The sequence below is a fragment of the Homo sapiens genome, chromosome 6, assembly GCF_000001405.40.
Source record: "Homo sapiens chromosome 6, GRCh38.p14 Primary Assembly".
Taxonomy (NCBI): Eukaryota; Metazoa; Chordata; class Mammalia; order Primates; family Hominidae; genus Homo; species Homo sapiens.
Window position 1 is genome coordinate 87,858,713 of NC_000006.12, and position 18,338 is coordinate 87,877,050.

At 42.0% G+C, this 18,338-nt stretch overlaps 1 long non-coding RNA gene across 1 annotated transcript in view, besides 1 other annotated feature; it reads left to right on the plus strand.

Moving 5' to 3' along the window:
- The window catches only part of LOC101928911 (uncharacterized), a 126,872-nt gene that overhangs the window by 73,853 nt on the left and 34,681 nt on the right, over positions 1-18,338 (plus strand). The gene's annotated exons all lie outside the window — the stretch shown is intronic.
- Positions 2,976-3,789: an enhancer, noted in NCBI's record as "OCT4-NANOG hESC enhancer chr6:88571406-88572219 (GRCh37/hg19 assembly coordinates)". NCBI's record gives its function as "activates a minimal SCP1, AML or CMV promoter by ChIP-STARR-seq in naive and primed H9 embryonic stem cells {active_cell/tissue: H9 hESC(naive and primed)}" and the evidence as "EXISTENCE:reporter gene assay evidence [ECO:0000049][PMID:30033119]".

Sequence of the window (18,338 nt, forward strand, 5' to 3'; positions counted from 1 at the left end):
AAAGAAGATAAAGAGTCATTTTATTTTCATCCTAATCCATGTTCTACCTTAATTGCCTTATGGAAAAATCCTGTTTACTTGGCCCTCTTTCTTGTGCAGAAATATAGATCATGACCATTGGAAAATGGAATTGCAGTCTTCTGCCACAGCAGGAAAATACATTATTGTTGGGTTGGGTGTTTCATTAAAGGTTTCTGCAGAGGCTGAATATCTTTATCTAAAATTCACAAAAATGCCTCAGGCCAATATCCTAAAAAAATGAGAATTATTTACCTGGAATCTCCTTGGTTCTCTCTCTGTTGCTCGTTTTCTTTCTCTTTTCTTATCTTGCTGATTATTTTACTGTGGCTCTGTACAGCCATAAGATTCTCTACTAATTTACTACTTTTAACCACTCTCGATTCAGTATCAGAGTGATAAATTGTTTGATTCTTTTTTCTGTTGTGGAGATCAGGAAGTGTAGGAGATTTATACCTAAATATTCTTCTTCCCGATTTAAGAAGGAACAATAGTCTCGAATTCCTAGGAAAAGATAATTTGGAGAATCCATACCAGAACGAGTGTTCCAATGAAGATGTTTTCTTTGCATGCTGATTTCTTTCTTGTAGGTTATCTCTTTATTGCAGAACCACAGAAGTTGGAGGGGTCTCCAGAGGATGTCTAAGATGAATCACTGCCTCAGGCAGACACAGACCAAAGAGTGGTGTGAAGTTAGATTCTGGGCCCAAACAACCATTCCAGAAAGAGCTCTATAAACTTTCATTATTAATAAATAAAAACATTCTGAGATGCTCTGCTAACTAAGTTTTATGGTCAATATTTATAGCTAGTTACTAAATTACCACTAAAAGCTTATCACAGGTCCATTTCTAAAGATGCATATTATCTAACAGGGTGGTTGTTCTTAATCACATTCCATTTTCACACTTAAAATAGGTAAAAGCACATATCCATGTTCCCAAAGGTTTGCATCTCTAATAGAGTTAAAATTGCACTTATGCATTTTTCTATAACTTTGTTAGTCTTAGCGTTGAATACCAAACTTGTCTTTACACAGGCAAAACACAGCTAAAGTTGTAAGCACTGTCTGGCCATTAAAACTGTAAGCACTTCACTTGACAGACCCAAATAATCAAGGAGGAATAACTTGGGGGAACTTATATTGACTCTTTCAATTCTCTTTTTATAAGGAAATCGTTTCCTGTGTCCAATTTGATTATAGGAAGAAAATGATGAAGGTGGCCTCACACATGCCTAGCTTCCTCCTTTTGCCGGGCTCTTACAAAATACCCTTGACTATGTGGCTTAAACAACAGGCATTTATTTCTCATAGCTCTGGAGGCTGGGAAGTCCAAAATCAAGGTGCTGGCATATTTGGTTCCAATGAGTACCTCCTTCCTAGACTGCAGACAGTCGCCTTTTTGCTGTGTCCTCACATGGCAGAAAGACAGAGACCAAGCTCCCTGGTGTCTCTTATTATAAGGACACTAATCATATCATGAGAGCCCCATTCTTATGACCTCATCTAAACCCATTTATCTCCCAAAGGTCCTGGCTCCAAATACCATCACATTGGGTATTAGGGCTTCAACATATAATTTTGTGGGGACAAAATTCGGCCATATCATATAGAATACAATACTATTATAAGTATACAAATTATAAGTAGACAGCTCAATAAATTTTTGCAAAGTGGACCAGGCATGGTGGCTCACACCTGTAATCCCAGCACTTTGGGAGGCCAAGGTGGGCGGATCATGAGGTCAGGAGATCGAGACCGTCCTGGCTAACATGGTGAAACCTTGTCTCTACTAAAAGTACACAAAAAAATTAGCCGGGCATGGTGGTGGGCGCCTGTAGTTCCAGCTACATGGGAGGCTGAGGTGGGAGAATGGCATGAACCCGGGAGGTGGAGCTTTCAGTGAGCCGAGATCGCGCCACTGCACTCCAGCCTGGGCAACAGAGCGAGACTCCATCTCAAAAAAAAAAATTTTTTTTTGGCAAAGTGAGCAGACCTGTGTAACCAATGTCTGGATCAAGAAACAGAATATTACCAGCAACATTCTCTCCCTGCCCCAATAGTATCACTATTCTGACTTCTTGACACCATCGATTGGTTTTGCCTGTTTTCGAACTTTTGAATACTCTGTGAAGAATATCTATAGCAGCACTCTTTACAATAGCCTAAAGGTGGAAGTGATTTGGTGAACATGCGTACCCATTTCTGTTGGGTATAGACCTAGAGATGGGATCGTGGAGTCATCAGGTATGTGTATGCTCAGCTTTACTAGATATTGACAAACAGTTTTTCCAAACTGGTTGGGCCAATTTAAACCCCCATGAGTTTGAGAGTGCTTATTGCTCCACACCTTCACCAACACTTTGTATTGTCAGTCTTTTTCATTTTAGCCATTCTAGTGGTATGTAATTGCATCACATGTGCTTTAATTTGTGCTTCCTTGATGACTAATGAAGTTGAGCATCTTTTCCTATTTTTAAAATTACAAGTGCTTTTAATTAGGATACCATGACTGCCAAACAGCTCCACCCTACTTTGTGTCATCTGAAGGACTAAGCTGTGCATTGTAATTCAAGTCTTCACTGTAATGATACTCTATGGTGCTTGGACTGACATCAAGCCACTCGGCTCGATTATACTTCGGTCTGGCCTTTGACTAAGTGTTAAGCCATATTTTGATAAGTAATTAATGAGAATATAATGTAGACTAGACTTGAATCTCTGGAGGAAATTAGCTCTAATTCTGCCTCCCTTATCTACATAACATGTAGATCAACCCTGTAGTAGAAGAACTACCTCTCAGGCTGTTCTTCATGGATCCATGCAAGGTTATTTGAACCTAGTGCTTCTCTGAGTCATGTCAAATAGATAGTTTGATGATTTGTCCTTGTGTATCCACAGGAATTAATGTTAAAGGATGTGTTATAATTGTCAGTCTCATGTGTCTTCCTCCTTTCCCTGAAACTGTCAAGGCAGTGGGACTCTATGCTGGCAGGAGGTTGGAACGTTAGTTGCTTTAACATCACCATTTCCAAGGTTCTCTATCTCAGGCAATCCTTTCTCCTTTTAGTTGTGTCTGTTTAAAAATACCAAGCTTTTCAGATGGCCAACATCCTCTTGATGCTAGTTTTCATGCGCGTCCGTGTGAAGAGACTACCAAACAGGCTTTGTGTGAGCAATAAAGCTTTTAATCACCAGGGTGCAGGCGGGCTGAGTCCGAAAAGAGAGTCAGCGAAGGGAGATAGGGGTGGGGCCGTTTTATAAGATTTGGGTAGGTAAAGGAAAATTACAGTCAAAGGGGCTTTGTTCTCTGGTGGGCAGGAGTGGGGGTTGCAAGGTGCTCAGTGAGGGAGCTTTTTGAGCCAGGAAGAGCCAGGAAAAGGACTTTCACAAGGTAATGTCATCACTTAAGGCAAGGACCAGCCATTTTCACTTCTTTTGTGGTGGAATGTCATCAGTTAAGGCAAGGACCGGCCATTTACACTTCTTTTGTGGTGGAATGTCATCAGTTAAGGCAGGGCAGGGCATTTTCACTTCTTTTGTGATTCTTCAGTTACTTCAGGCCATCTGGGCATATACGTGCAAGTCACAGGGGATGCGATGGCTTGGTTTGGGCTCAGAGGCCTGACACTAGTCAGTTCACTGTGGTCCACCAATGGAGTTGATTATGAAATTTGAGGTAAGGATGCTGACTTTTGGAAGGTGTCCCCAGGTATCTGCTTGGTAATCTTATGGAATGATATATTATTATTTCTCCCAAAAGGGAGCCACTCTAATAATACATTGTTCAGTGAACTTTGAGTTTATTTAAAAATGATGCATTAGAACCACTGTGAACTTTAGAAACTGCATGTTCTGGAAACTATCTGTAGAGTTTCCTTAAGAAGTATGTTATTTGCTATGCTTTTTAGTTGGTATATCTTTTCTTAAGAATATTGGTCCTAATATATTTTTAAAACTTACAGATTTAGACTTGTCTTTGAGTTTTGTACTTAGATTTGCTATCACACTGTCCTTGGTTTTAACATTCAGGAGAAAACCACATTGAACAACCCAATCTCCTTCTACCAGGTAATTTTTTGGACATCTGGGATTTGAAAAGGTGCTTCACTTTGATTAGAAGTGTGTTCTGTTATTCTCTATTAACCAAGCACCAGATAATTATTAAGAATCTTCTAGGGGTGAGTGAGCCTCTCATGGGTGGCCTGATTCATTTTGGGATCCCTGCCCAGACGGTCATTAAGAAGTGTCAGCCAGTGAAGAGCTGGGCGCCTGCTCTGCTTGACATGAATCAAGACAACTTTATTTCTCTTGAGCCAAACAAACAAATGAAACACTCCCCTCAACCTTCAACAAAACAACAACAATGAAGAGAGGAGTTTGCCTGCCAAGCAATCTAGGCTTGAACCAACTGCTGCTCAATAAACATCATTCCCTGGAGGCCGTCTCTGCCCACCCTCTGATTCTCTTGACCCATCTTGTTCCATAGTGGACAGCAGGTTTACTATTGGAGCTCTGTTTGATCTTCTGTCACTAACTTATACCTGTGGTTAATTTTGATTGTCCTGCTCGTTGAGGTACTTGTGTTCAGCTGTGGCTGTCACATGCTTGTTAGAGGTATGGAAAAATACAGCATTCGGTGATATTTATCAATGTGTGTCTAGAGATCTGAGACTTCTTAGGTAAAAAAGCAACAGTCAACTTTTGTAAGATGAATACATGTGGTAATTTAGACATTTATGAGCTACTGTAAATCTTTTCTGCATGAAGCTTTGAAAAATTGTTTTCAGATTTTCTTTCTTTCCGTAACTCCTAAGTACTTGGACATAATTGATTTTCAATGATTACACATAACTGCTCCAACTTACATAGACTGTCATCTCAAATCACATTTTCCAATTTTAAAGAAATAAAATGAAATTCACATTTTGAAGTAATTTGTCATTAGCTAAGACAAATCTGGTTGGGTTTCTTTTTTGTTTTGTTTTGTTTTGTTTTTTCCTTTATAGACCATATTGGAAATTTTCACCTGGACATTCATATGTTATTTTCTCTCAGAGGACTTTGTCAGTAGGCAGAAGATAAGAAGACAAGTTAGTTTGCCTTGAGAGTATCTCTCAGTTACTACAGCGCAGGAGAGGAACGTGTTGGATAACCTATGGCCCCTTGCTAGTCATTCTCAAACTTTAGGGTACATCAGAGGTACCTGGGGATCTTGTCATAGAATATAATTCTTGGGTTCCACTTCTGGAGATCTGATTTAGTAGGACTGAGATCTGTTTTTGTTTTTGGCGATCTATATTTTTTTTTTAGCAAGCATTCCAATACCTGTGATGTGCATACCACAGAAGCACATTGTATGAAATACAGACCCAGGGCTTCTTATTATACCACAAGGAACGGTTGCTGAAGCAGGTAAGAAGACTGGTCATGGTGAACTCTGTTCATATCATAGCTAAGAGAAAAGATGTCTCTTTAGATCTAAAGTTCTAATTATATGTCCTCGGCTGGGTTCCCTAGGAGCAGAGCCTAAGACAGGCAACAAATTGTATGTGATTTATTGGAAGGGTCTTAGGAGAAAGGGAGCGAGGGAAGTGGGCAAGGGCAAGACAAGGAGCTAAGCAAGGCTATGGTCTCAGTTGGAGGCTGGCTTTAGCCTGATACCATGGGGAGCACTGGGGCATGAATTCCACCACATAGACCTTGAGGAAAGTCAATCAGACTTTTGTATCCCATGTCAGTCACTGTTTACAGGCTGCCCTGTGGTGGATGGGTGATGTAACCTCATGGAGGAGGCCATCCCTATTCTACACAGGGCAGCTCCCCTGGGAGGAAGCCTCTGGAGCCACTAGCAACCCACACTCATGGCAGCCGGGGGATAGGTGCACCAGCCAGGTAGAGGGGATCTACGAGGGGCACCATCAGTATTCATTACACTATGACAACATGGAGTCATGTGGGAGGCTTTTCACAATGTGGCTTCTGTTCTTGGTCCCTCTGACTGCTCTTGCTGTAGTCATTTACTTAGTAAGCTTGCGTTATTATGATTCTTTTTATAATTGCAAGGGAAAATATGGACAGCACATATACTTGGCTTTTTTCTGTGTCATATTTTTCTTCCTGTGCTTTAGTAAGGATTGTCATCTTGTAGCAAAGTGTAGAAAACATGGCAGGCTCCTTTGTCAATTTTGTTTCCTAGTCTCAATGAGAGGAACAATGACTTCAAATATTGAATTATGGATCCTCAGGCTGTAGTGAAATCTTAATGTGTTTTACGCAAAACTTCATTTGCAGATGATTCTGTTTCATGCTTCTTGTAATGACATTGCTTGCGGAGGAGTTCCCTTGTTTAGGACCTTCAATGAGAAATATGATGTTCTGGAAACGATTGAACTGGTTGTCATTGGTTACTTGGCTTTATTAAATAAAGCAGACTCTTTTAAATTGTGTTCTGTGGAACATTAGTGTCTTTTGCACTGTATTCTACAAAAAAAAGTTCTATGCTCGAATATTTTTGGTGGCATTCTGTGTATGATATTCCCCTCTTGGAGATTCACAAAGCACTTTGGCCCATGAAAGACTAAATATTCTGCAGGAAAGAAAACTTCTTACCTTTGTTTAACTGATTGTTTTTCAAATCTGTTTGCTCGTGGAAGAGCCTCCTGTCATGGCTGCCTCCTTCATTTGTTTTTGTTTTTTGTTTTTTTTTCTCAGAATATATGTTACCATCTCACAGAACACAGTTTCGAGAATACTGGTATAACATATCATTCCTCATCATGTGTTATCAGAGCATTGGTAAGCAACAAAGAACTAGTTCCACCCTTTTACACCTTGTAAACCCAGCCCTTGACATCTTATTTACATGCAAGGCAAGTGCAAAGCAGATTTGGGGACAGGGCAGTCTCTGGAGGACAAGGACAAGTTATTTGTTTTCTATGCTGAAGGGGCCATAAAAACAGCAACATATTTAATGAGGCCTCACTGTAGCTATTTTAGCCTCCATAAAACATCTTACTCAGCCTAACCTACAATTACTTAATGGACAGAGTTTTACAAACAGCTAGTCTCCAGCCTCAAATGTTTATTAAGTGTCTGTTCCTTTTGGAGCGACTTTACTAAGGAGAGTCATGCAAGATTAAAAAGATAGAATATTAAAAATTCAGCCAATACACACCAGGGCTACCCTGATGATAACAACTGTGGTGTAATGTTTTTGAATTCATATGGATTCCCACGTTCTCAGTAAAACATACCCTGCCATTTCCCAACATTCTTTCAGTAAAAAAATTATTTGGACCATCATGAGTATTTGGCATTTCTTTTTTGCATAAGACAGATCCTCTGTGACTTGTATTTTTCTAAGAAATGTTGAGTTGTAAAAGATAAAGGTGAATGAATATTTATTTATTTTATACAGCACTTTGAAGTTTGCAGAAAACTCCCCCTCCGACTATCATTTTTGTACTTAAAAAATCCCATGAGAATAGCAGTATTACAAGCACCACAAAAGTGACCAGTGTCCTTCATCCGGCAACGTAAAACCAGATACCTACACCAAGGTTTGCAGCAATAAAAAGAAAGGCTTTTATTGCAGGGTGCCAAGCAAGGAGATCTAGGCAGCTGAATGCTCAAATCCTGACCTCTCTGATGGCTTGCAGGCAAGGATTTTTTTTTTTTGAGACAGAGTTTCGCTCTTTTTGCCCAGGCTGGAGGGCAATGGTACGATCTCGGCCCACCACAACCTCCACCTCCCGGGTTCAAGCAATTCTCCTGCCTCAGCCTTCCGAGTAGCTGGGATTACAGGCATGCGCCACCACCCCGGCTAATTTTGTATTTTTAGTAGAGACGGGGTTTCCCCCTGTTGGTAAGGCTTTCTTGAACTTCCGGCCGCAGGTGATCCACCCGCCTCATCCTCCCAAAGTGCTGGGATTACAGGCGTGAGCCACCGCGCCCGGCCGACCGCAGGCAAGGATGTTTAAAGGCGGGAGTAAATTACAAGAAAGCAGAAGGTACAGGCAAAATTATTAATCAATACATGGAGGTTACATATTGGTTTAGACCTGAAAGGGCAGGATATACAGGTCATAGGTAGATTCAGAGACTTTCTGATTTGTGATTGGTTGGGGAAGAAAAGCTTTGTTTTAAAATTTGAGGTCAATGAAAGAATGTTAACTGGCTACAGGGAGTGACCTTTTCCAAGCCTCTCAGGAAGAAACTTAGAATAAAGGATGGTGGTTAAAGTTTAGTATTTATTTCCCGCATATCTGAGGTCGGTGTGCCAGGGGATCCTTTGGTGGGAGTCCCCGGTGGAGGTCTGAGTTTTTGAAAGACAACTCAGGGACATATGCCAAAATGTTATCTTTGGGTTCTATAGGGAAAGCAATATCTCCGGGACTCTTAATTTTTTCGCTGTTGTTTTGGACTACTATTCCCCTCTTGTTTAACAAGTTGCTTACTTACTTTTGGGACTAGCTAGGTACCCGGTATATTTTTTGAAGGAATTCAGGATTTTTCTTGATTTCCATGGTTTGGGTCCACAGGCCACTTAAAAAAGGAGTCCCTGTCCCATCTCACAAGGACTCCTGGAAGGCTGGCCAGAGCAGCCTCACAGATTTCAGAAGCTTAATTTTTATTCACCTTGATCATTATCCTGAGTGACTTTGTCCTTAAAGTGACTATCTTTTTAACACTCCCTGCCCTACCCCACCAACTCATTTCTCTCCCCACTCTTCTCTTCCCAGGTAATAGCACTAGAGTCCACCCAAATTAGAAACCGCACAGATATCTCTAGTTCCTGTGTCTCTCTTTCCACTCAGACAGCCTTTCCTGGGTTTTTCTTTTTGCATCATAAGAAAATTCTAGAAGCAAATCACAAGACTTTCCCTTCCTTGCTCTTATTTCCCTCCTGCTTACTTATGCTCTACCAGCTTAGCATCCAGACCCAACCACAGCTTTCTTTTCTGCTACGTGATCCATTGCTTAGCAATAGTTACCTCTTGAGTCATGGGAGGGTGGTAAGTCTCGTGTGTGTGCATGAGTGTGGACACACGTAAAAGTTGATGGGGAGTGAAGTAGTCAGAGGCCATATTTAGACAGAGTCCTGCATTCTCTGCCGAGGAATATGGATTTTCTCTATTAGGAAGCCTAAGTAATCTAGGACCACGGATCCTTTGGATAGTGTAGAAGATAGTCTGAAAACACAGGAAGCTGTTTCATGAACATGGCAGACAGTGAGGTCTGGAAAATGGGCATAGCTGAGGTAATAGAAAGGACAAGGCCATATATGAATGAGATTTCTGAGGTAGAATAGACTGGGCTGGGTGGAAACAGAGACACAGGAACTAGCGATATCTGTGCGGTTTCTAATTTGGATGGACTCTAGTGCTATTACCTGGGAAGAGAAGAGTGGGGAGAGAAATGAGTTGGTGGGGTAGGGCAGGGAGACTCAAAAAGATAAAGTCACTTTAAGGACATGCTAAGTTTGAAATGAGATATTTAGAAAGCAGCTTAAAATATTGGTCTTTTTCTTAACAGAGAAAGAGAACAAAACTTGAGATTTAGATCTGGCATTAAACAGTGTATAAAGACCTGGGCATGGTTGGATGCCTCCAGGAAGAGTATGGTGCCAGAATAAGTCACCCACACAACTCAGGTGTGTTGGAAATGTCACATGTCTTTATGGCTTATAAGTCAACTTCACTTCATGCTGAGCACCCCTTTTTTTAGTCTGGGGAAAACCTAACTTCACGGATTTGAGTTTATCCTCCTCTTATGTGGTGTGGAGTCTTCAGAGTGCAGATTGGTGGTCTGGTCTTTGGTCATCCATCTATGGAGATTACTGCTAAAGCTGCCACCAACCTCCTGGATTCCTTCTTCTCTGCCATAGCTATGCCATGTTAGGCTGCCTGTGGTTTTGTCTGCCTGGCATGCACTCCACCCAACTTTTCCACCTGGGGTTTTGCTGTCAACACTGTAGACTAAAAAGGAGCATGGGCTTCTCTGCAACCCTTTGGCATGTCTCTTCCCCTTCTTCCCTCCTCTCACCCAGGGACATCTCTTGTTAGTCTGGAAAAGGGAAAGAGGGAAGAAAGGATGAAGCCCCCACTGTATTACTTCTCACATTAGCTCCCACTTTCTCCCCAAACCACCAACTCTTCTTTAGGGCTAAACATTGTTTTTCAGGGAAATAAAAGCCAGATGGACTTGCTGGCTATTGTTGGTTTTGACCCTGATGGATGCTTTCCTGAGGTTATGGAGTATCAAGACTGCCACCAGCTTGAACTGGGGGAAGGAAATAAATACAGGGAGGAAAAAAGGCTAATATCTTAAAATACTATCCAGCCACAGTATTAAAGTAAGAAGAGAAGGCGAGCAAGCCTGTGGGCTACAGAGTGTGGATCCAAGAAGGAGCAGAAAGGTGGCATCCAAGGAAGAAGCCAGAAAGCTCCTAGAGGGCGACAAAATCGCCACTCTGAGGACACCAAGACACAAGGCAGTGTCCCCCATGTGATGCAACAGGATGGGAACTGAACATGGCGGAAGTGAGCAGGTGGGTTTAGAGCCTGGTGTCTTTAAAGTATGCCTATGGCCTAGTCTGTGGTTGGGAGGTCAGACTGGGTTCAGATGGAGCCACCTCTGTCTTATGGGTGATTATGTCATGACACAAAGTGTTCTCCTGATCTTATCTCTCTTATCTGTTTCTCTAATATCTCCCACCCTGGGCTACACATCCCTTGGGGGCAGAACAATGCCCTTTACATTCTTATACCCTCAGCCCCTAGCACAATGTCTGATGCATAGTGGATTCATAATTTAGATTTAATGAATGACTATAGGCCAAGGTTTTCCAAGAAGGTCAACATTTTCTCTGCCCAGATATAGGGCTGAAGTTATCCAAGATCTCAGAGGAATTTCCCTTTAGTTCTGTGCAGCAAGAGCTCTGAGGCCTTTGAACTTAGGCCTAGTAATCTGGTTTCCAGTGATAAGGGTGGGTAGCACCACTGATAGTGGGGTGAAAGATAGGGTTTGGACATTTGCTTGTTTTCTCCCTTCGTTTGTACCCTAATGCAGACATTGTGGTCATATTACTTTGGAAATATTTTAACTCGTGGATGCAATTCAGAAATAAATCAATTTAGACTGGGCACGGTGATTCAGGCCTGTAATCCCAGTACTTTGCGAGGCTGAGGTGGGCGGATCACTTGAGGTCAGGAGTTCAAGACCAGCCTGGCCAACATGGCAAAACTCTGTCTGTATTAAAAATACAAAAAATTAGCTGGGTGTGGTGGCACCCACCTGTAATCCCAATTACTCGGGAGGCTGAGGCATGAGAATCACTTGAACCTGGGAAGTGGAGGTTGCAGTGAGTGGAGATTGTGCCACTGCACTCCAGCCTGGGTGACAGAGGGAGACCCTGTCTCAAAAACAAAAACAATTTATCACAGATCTGCACACTGCACGAGGCACTATGAGAAATATTGGTGTACAAAGAGAAGTGATACAGATGCAGGGCCTTATTTTTTTAAAAAACTCCTGGTTAGGAAGTTAAGAAAGTTAGTAAATAGCTGTAATTCATAGAAAAATAAAAGCGCAAGTGTTGAAAAAAAAATAAAGGAATGGGAGAGGGAGGGTTTCTGCTTGATTAAAACTATAAATTATTTAGAATTTCCTGTTTATTAGTTATCCCAATTAAAAGTTGTTTCACTGAATCTTGCCAAGCAGAAAAGGCACTTAATTTATATATTATATTTATCTTTTGCAAAAAATCTTGAAAGCACAAAATAAGAAAATCTTGGGTGGGGTCTAGGTTATGGCAATGGCTTATTTCCCAACAAAAAAGGTTTAAGAAGGAGAGAGAAGATTTTTGAAAAAGAGCCAGATTCACTGTTTCCATTTATGGAGAAGTATATGATTTTTGCCAAGGAATTACACACGGCAGACTGAATCCTTTTTTAGCTTCTAAATCAAAGTTGGAGAGATACACAGTTTGGAATTATTTCAGCTGTGTTTGAAATTGCTGAGGGATCCTTAGGTGAAAGGTGGTGTGTAAATCTGAATAAATATTCTTGTTATTTCATTATTGTTGTGATGAGTTATGTTGTCAGGAACGCAGACTGCTGGAATCAGACTGGGAGAACAAAGTGGAATGCTTGTCACCTAAAGATTGTATTTCACAGCTGTAAACACCCAAAAGAACTTCTGGCAGAGAATCGTCAGCTGTAAATTTACAACCTGCTCAGGCATCCAAGCTTTGTTGGGAAAAAAACAATCTCCTGAAAATATATTATTCTAAATGTTTGGCTTCTAAGAGAATCTTACTTATGTATTTTTAGTAAGCATGGGGGTAGAAAGGGGTTGAAAAGGAAGGAGGGGTTCTCAAAAGCACTTTGAAGAACCTGTCGATTTTTCTTTGTTTTCCTCCTCCCCTCCAACATGACATTTTCAGCTTCCTTATAAAGCTAGCCCTTCGGATTGAAATAGCTAGTGAAGCCATATTTATTGAGTACTAGATGGGTACTTGGGCTAGGGCTGGTTCTTTGGGGACTTTAGATGTTTAAGGTTTGGTCCTTGCCATTTTGGAATGTTGAGCTAAGAGGGAAAGACCAACCTATGGAAAAGCATAAGGGACCTTCCTTAGAAGAGGAGCTGTAGATCTCTCATTAAATGATGGACATGTGGTTTGGAGTATCTGGGCTGGAGAGGTCAGGGCAGTGGCACAAATGAGGGCTCCCTGGTGTCTTAGAGGCTGAAATGACCTTTAAGGGGAAAATTCCCCTTGTCCATTGTGACAACAGAACAGCCAGAGGACAGGAAGAGGCACAGAAATGCTGCTCTGCCCTCCAGGAAGTTATAGGAGCTTCTTCTTTGGTACCCAGGCACCAAGAGCACACCTTGGCTGCTCAAGGTGAGGATGTGCCTAGTGGCCCAAGGCGGATGACATGGCCATAGGGAAAAGCAGGCACCAAAGCCCGGAACTCATTTCCCCAGGATCCTTTGTTCGTCCTAAACTGTGAAGCTCAGACCACGTTCCTGGAGCTGACAGCCATGACCTAGCCTGCTGCTCACAGCCCCTTTCTCAGACTTGATGGAACAATGTGAGGTGGGAGTTTCTGGGGGGCCTGGGCAGTTGCTCAGCATTCTGTTTTTCCTGATTGGATCTGGGAAGGCTGCCTGTGGCAAGAGAATTCCTAGGTGAGCCTCTCTTCCCAAGCCAGGTGCGTGATCCGGCACATTTGAACCCCATTCAGGGAGGTCTGCTCCTCTAGATCCCTAGCCCAAGAGAGCAATGGGGTCACACACACAGAAAGACACTGAGCTTGCCTGTGTCACCCCATCTGCTCACACAGGTTACCCATGGCTGCAAAGTGCCCTGCAGCGATTTGGGAGTCTGCAGGGTATGCCTGGCCTGTGCTTATGAGCAAATTCAGTCGGCAATAAGCGCGTCCATTTAGACTCATGCCCTGCTCTGCGCAGTCTCTGAAGGCATGTCCACTTGCAGCATTTAGTCTCCCTCTGGACAGTGCCCTAATGTGCTGGAGCCCTTGATGTGCCCAGCTGGGAAAGGGTCTGTACACAAGGAAGCAGTTCCCCACTTGAAGGCATACAATGTTAGAGGGATTCCAAGGTAGGGCTGTCTTTGGTCTGAGCACCCTACAGAGTTCTTAGTGAATTCGCTCTTGTGATTTTTGCTTGTACCTTCTCTTCCATAGGCTGTAAGGAGGAGTTCAGTGGGGAGGCTGGGATGAGAACAGTTCTAAGGGGTGCCTGTGTGTGATGAAAGCGGTGGCTCTCCTTACCTGTATTTATTTTGCCTAAATATATGCATTAAGGCTTTAAATGAAAAACTACATTATTCTGTCCCATCCCACCCAACCCCAAATCTGAACCCCAGAGGTAACCACCATGAATCTAGCTGTTTCTTCTGGCCTTTATCGTTACATTTCTTTTTTTTAAATAATTTTTAAAATTTTTTTTAAGACACAAGGTCTCACTCTGTTGCCTAGGCTGGTGTGCAGCGGCACAATCATAGCTTGAACTCCTGGGCTCGAGCAATCCTCCTGCCTGAGCCTCCTGAGTAGCTGGGACTATGGATATGCGCCAACCCGCCTGGCTAATATAGTCATATTTCTAACTAATATGTTTATACCACAAGGTTTTGGTTTGTTGGTTTGGACATCACCTGTTAATTTATTATCATAGTAAATGAAGACCTACTCTTGTATAAACATCCCCATTTCATAGTCCTCAGACTCCTCAAATAGTAACACCACAAATTTTGATTAAATTAATAATCAGTGCTAGAATATTATGACTGCGGAAGTATTGCCAACTGCTGAGTCCAGTAATACACTACAGCCATGGCTCTTACCTTGTACATTTTTGGAGCTGATACTTTTCTCTTGTTTTCCTTTGCTTCATTTTTGTGTAACTATTGCCATTTTCCCACAAATGCCTCCAATGTTTCTGTCACAACATACATATTAATATTTGCCATGTATGCAAACAAATCAACTCTGCTGTTTCCCCTTAAAAATGTTTCTCCTAGAGCTCTTTGTTGTTTCCCCCTAATCCATGTGCATTGCTCTATATTTGAACCCCACATGCAGCTCTTTGGGGATAGATCCCTTGTTTTGTGTGTGTGTGTGTGTGTGTGTGTGTGTGTGTGTGTGTGTGTGTGTGTGTGGTTCCAATGTCTTCTTTTCATGGTTTGCTAGAATAGTTTACTCTTCAGCAGTCTCCTAAAAAGTTATATAAAGAAGGTAAATTTTCTGAGATCTGAACATCTGAAAATGTCTATTGTATACTCAAACTTTACTGATATGTTGAGTATAGAATTTCATTTGGAAAATCATTTTTCCTCAGAATTATGAAGTCATTTTCTTTACTTTGCGTAATTGCTGTTGAGAAGTCTGATGCTATTCTGATTCATAATTTCTTGTGTGTGTCCTCTTTTTCCTCTCTGGAAGTTTAAAATATTTTTCTCTTTATTCTTGATATTTTCAAATTTCACAACAATGCCCTGCAGGGGAAGAAAGGTGTGATACCTGTTCGTCACCCATCCTAGGAGTTATGACCAACATTCCTATAACAAAAGATGGGTTAACAAGCAAAAAGCCTAACAAATTTATTTAATCAAAGTTTTATGTGACAGAGGAACTTTCAGAAATGAAGACCGAAAGACCCAGGGAACACTGTTTTTATGCTTAGGTTCAATGAAGAATAGACAGCTGTGTAGAAATGGGATTGGACAAAAGTGTAAGATCTAATGGTAACAGACTGAGCGGGGAAGCCCAGCAAAGCCTGTCTGCTCAGATGCTTCTTGGTTCTCTGGGTAGCATTCCTTCCTCCTGGGTATGGGGTGGAACCCCTCTGGAATGAGGGTCTTCAAGGGAGAAGAGGGAGGGAGAGTGAGCTTTCTAGGTTTTATGGCTTGCTTTGGGGGAGGGCAGGTCTAGTTTCTACAACCTGCCTTGAGGAAGAGGAATTGTGGCTTCTGTGATTTATTTCAGGGGAGAAAGGTGGCAGGAAGGCAGAAGGGCAGGAGGAGGGCAGATCGACCTTGTTTCTGAGACCTTCCCACCTCCTTCAGTTCAAAGTACTCAGTAGGCTGTGGTGCTGTACTTTGGGGTATGGAATGAGTTCCAATGGTGCCTTGGTATTGGTCTTTTAATTTTTATTATGATCAACCATTTTTAATTTACAGACTCGTGTTCTCTAGTTCTGGAAATTTTGTTATGAGAAAATTATGTCATTCATAATTTCCTCCCTACTGTTTTTTCTGTTCTGTTCTTCTAGAGCTCCTATTAGTCACATTTAGGGTCCTTGGATTGATTTTTTAAATTTTCTTAACTTTCTCTCCATTCGTCCATCTCTTTATCAGTTTGCTCTTTTTCCCCTATTGCTCAGTTTCCTATATTCTGTTTGCCTATTTTGGTCCCTCTCCTATTGGAGACCTTCCTCAAATGTCTGGTCACCTTAAGCTGGGTGTGGTGGCTCACACCTGTAATCCCAGCACTTTGGGAGGCCGAGGCGGGCGGATCACGAGGTCAGGAGATCAAGACCATCCTGGCCAACATGGTGAAACCCCGTCTATACTAAAATACAAAAAAATTAGCAGGACGTGGTGGTGTGTGCCTGTGGTCCCAGGTATTCGGGAGGCTGACGCAGGGGAATCGCTTGAACCCGGGAGGTGGAGATTGCGGTGAGCTGAGATCACGCCACTGCACTCTAGCCTGGCGACAGAGCAAGACTCTGTCTCAAAAAAAAAAAAAAGAAAAAAAAAGTCTGGTTACCCTAGGCTGTCCATTCGATTTAGAGTGACACTTTCAAATGTGGGAGGGCTCAGTGTGTACTGGTTTGTATGTGTAGGAGGACAGGGGTTGTAGACTCTCGGGCCTTCCTGTGTAGATTCTGGTGGCCAGGAAGTCAGGCTTGATGCTGGAGACCTAATTATTCCCCCCACCAATACCTGAGGAGTTTTTTGTTCTTATTTGCTTTTGCTGTTGCCATTTTTTGGGTTTGTTATGTGTTTCCAGCTATTCAATTTCTCTAGAGAAGAGAAGGATCATTGCATTTCTTGCCTGAGGAGTTAAGCCTGGAGGGTGGTTTACTGGAATCAGAATTGGGAAAAGAGACTGGGGAGTCCCACCCTTCACAAGTTAATCTCCCCATTTGTACTCATGTCTACCTTCCTCCTCCCACATAGAATGTGGTGACCACTGAGACTTGGGATCAATTTCCCCAGAAAAGAATCCTCTGGTTTGTGTGCAGAGGGTAGGTAGGGAGCAGTGTAGGGAAGGTATAGTTGGCTGGTTGCAAGGAGTGGGAGAATGATGGAAGATTCTAATCAGGTTGTGTGTGGGCTTGGGACCATGCATGGTTGTCTGCTCTGAGATGCCCTCCTGCCTCTTCTGATAACTTGTGCCACTATGTAATGGATTTGCTGTGGTTCTGTGCAGCAAGTGGTCTCATTTCTTTTTAGTATTCTCCCCCACTTTATTTATTTATTTTTTTTTAGCAACCTGGATGTGTCTCCTCCTTGCTGAATCAAAACCATACTTCCATTCCTTTGCCATTTTTCAAACGTTTGTTGAAATTTCTGCTCTGCTAATATCTCCCCAACAGGTCATTTCTCTTGTGGGCTAAAATCTTTTAAATTCCTTTCCTGTCAGTTGATGGAGTTTAGGACACAGTCATGTATGTGTCAATCTGGAGTGTTTAACCTGCTTTACTGCATGTTGAAGACCTTGCCTGACTCATGTTATGTGAGAGTCCAAGCTCCTGCTCATTTCCAAACCAGCTGTGTGACCTTGAGTAAGGCACTCAAATGCACTGGGCTTCAGTTTCTCATTTGTAAAGGCAGCAGTAAGAATCTGTATACAGTAAAGCAAGTGTCTGTCTTGCCAATCTCATGTTGCTATGTGGCTGAAATAAGATTGGACATGTGAGAATGCTCTGGAAGAAACAAAGGTGGGATGAAAATGGAAGGCATCATGAGTAAAGCTAAAAAACAGAATCTTTTTACAAATGGCAAAGAGCCCCCTTCTCCCTGATATCCTGGCTTCCTCTACGTTGGTGTGTGGAGCATATGGATGAGGGGGTTCAGCTCAAAACTTTCTACTTGTTTTGATCCAAATTCCTTTTCTTTCACATCAGTGCAGCTCATCTTAGTATGACTTTTGGGTTCATCCCCTCCATCACCCTTGGGCACTTCAAGGAAAGTATCATCTGTGTCTAGTGTTTTTTTTGGTCTCAGTTTGAGACCTCTCAAAATTTTTCTATTTAATTGCAGATTTATGTTCTAATGCTGCAAATCCCTGTCCTCCTACATTGTCTGTTGGGTTATATTACTTGTATAAATCCAGAAAAACAGCAGAGAGAAATAAAAATGAAATTTTAAGCACAGTCATAATTTTGTAGCATAAATTGTAACTTGCCGGAATCTGTGGCATTATTAGACTATACCCTCACAATAGATTATTGTAAGCATGAAATGGGTAATATGAGGAAGTGCTTTGTAAACCATAAAGTCTACATCAAATACGAGGAATTGCTGCCATCATTGTTCATCTCTCTGGGCCTCAGTTTACTCATCATGAAGTGAGTTGTTGAGAATTTCAGCTCTGCTATGGTGGCATAAGCTCTCTATGTCCCATCCCTCCCACTGATTGCAACTAAATCTTCAGGATAAAATTAAACAACAACAACAACAACAGCAGCTACTCAAGGGCTCTGAAAAGCATTATATGTAGTTGAAGGAGGCAATCAACCACATAGTATATTGAGGAGGGACCCCAAATGCAGCCTACTGACCAAA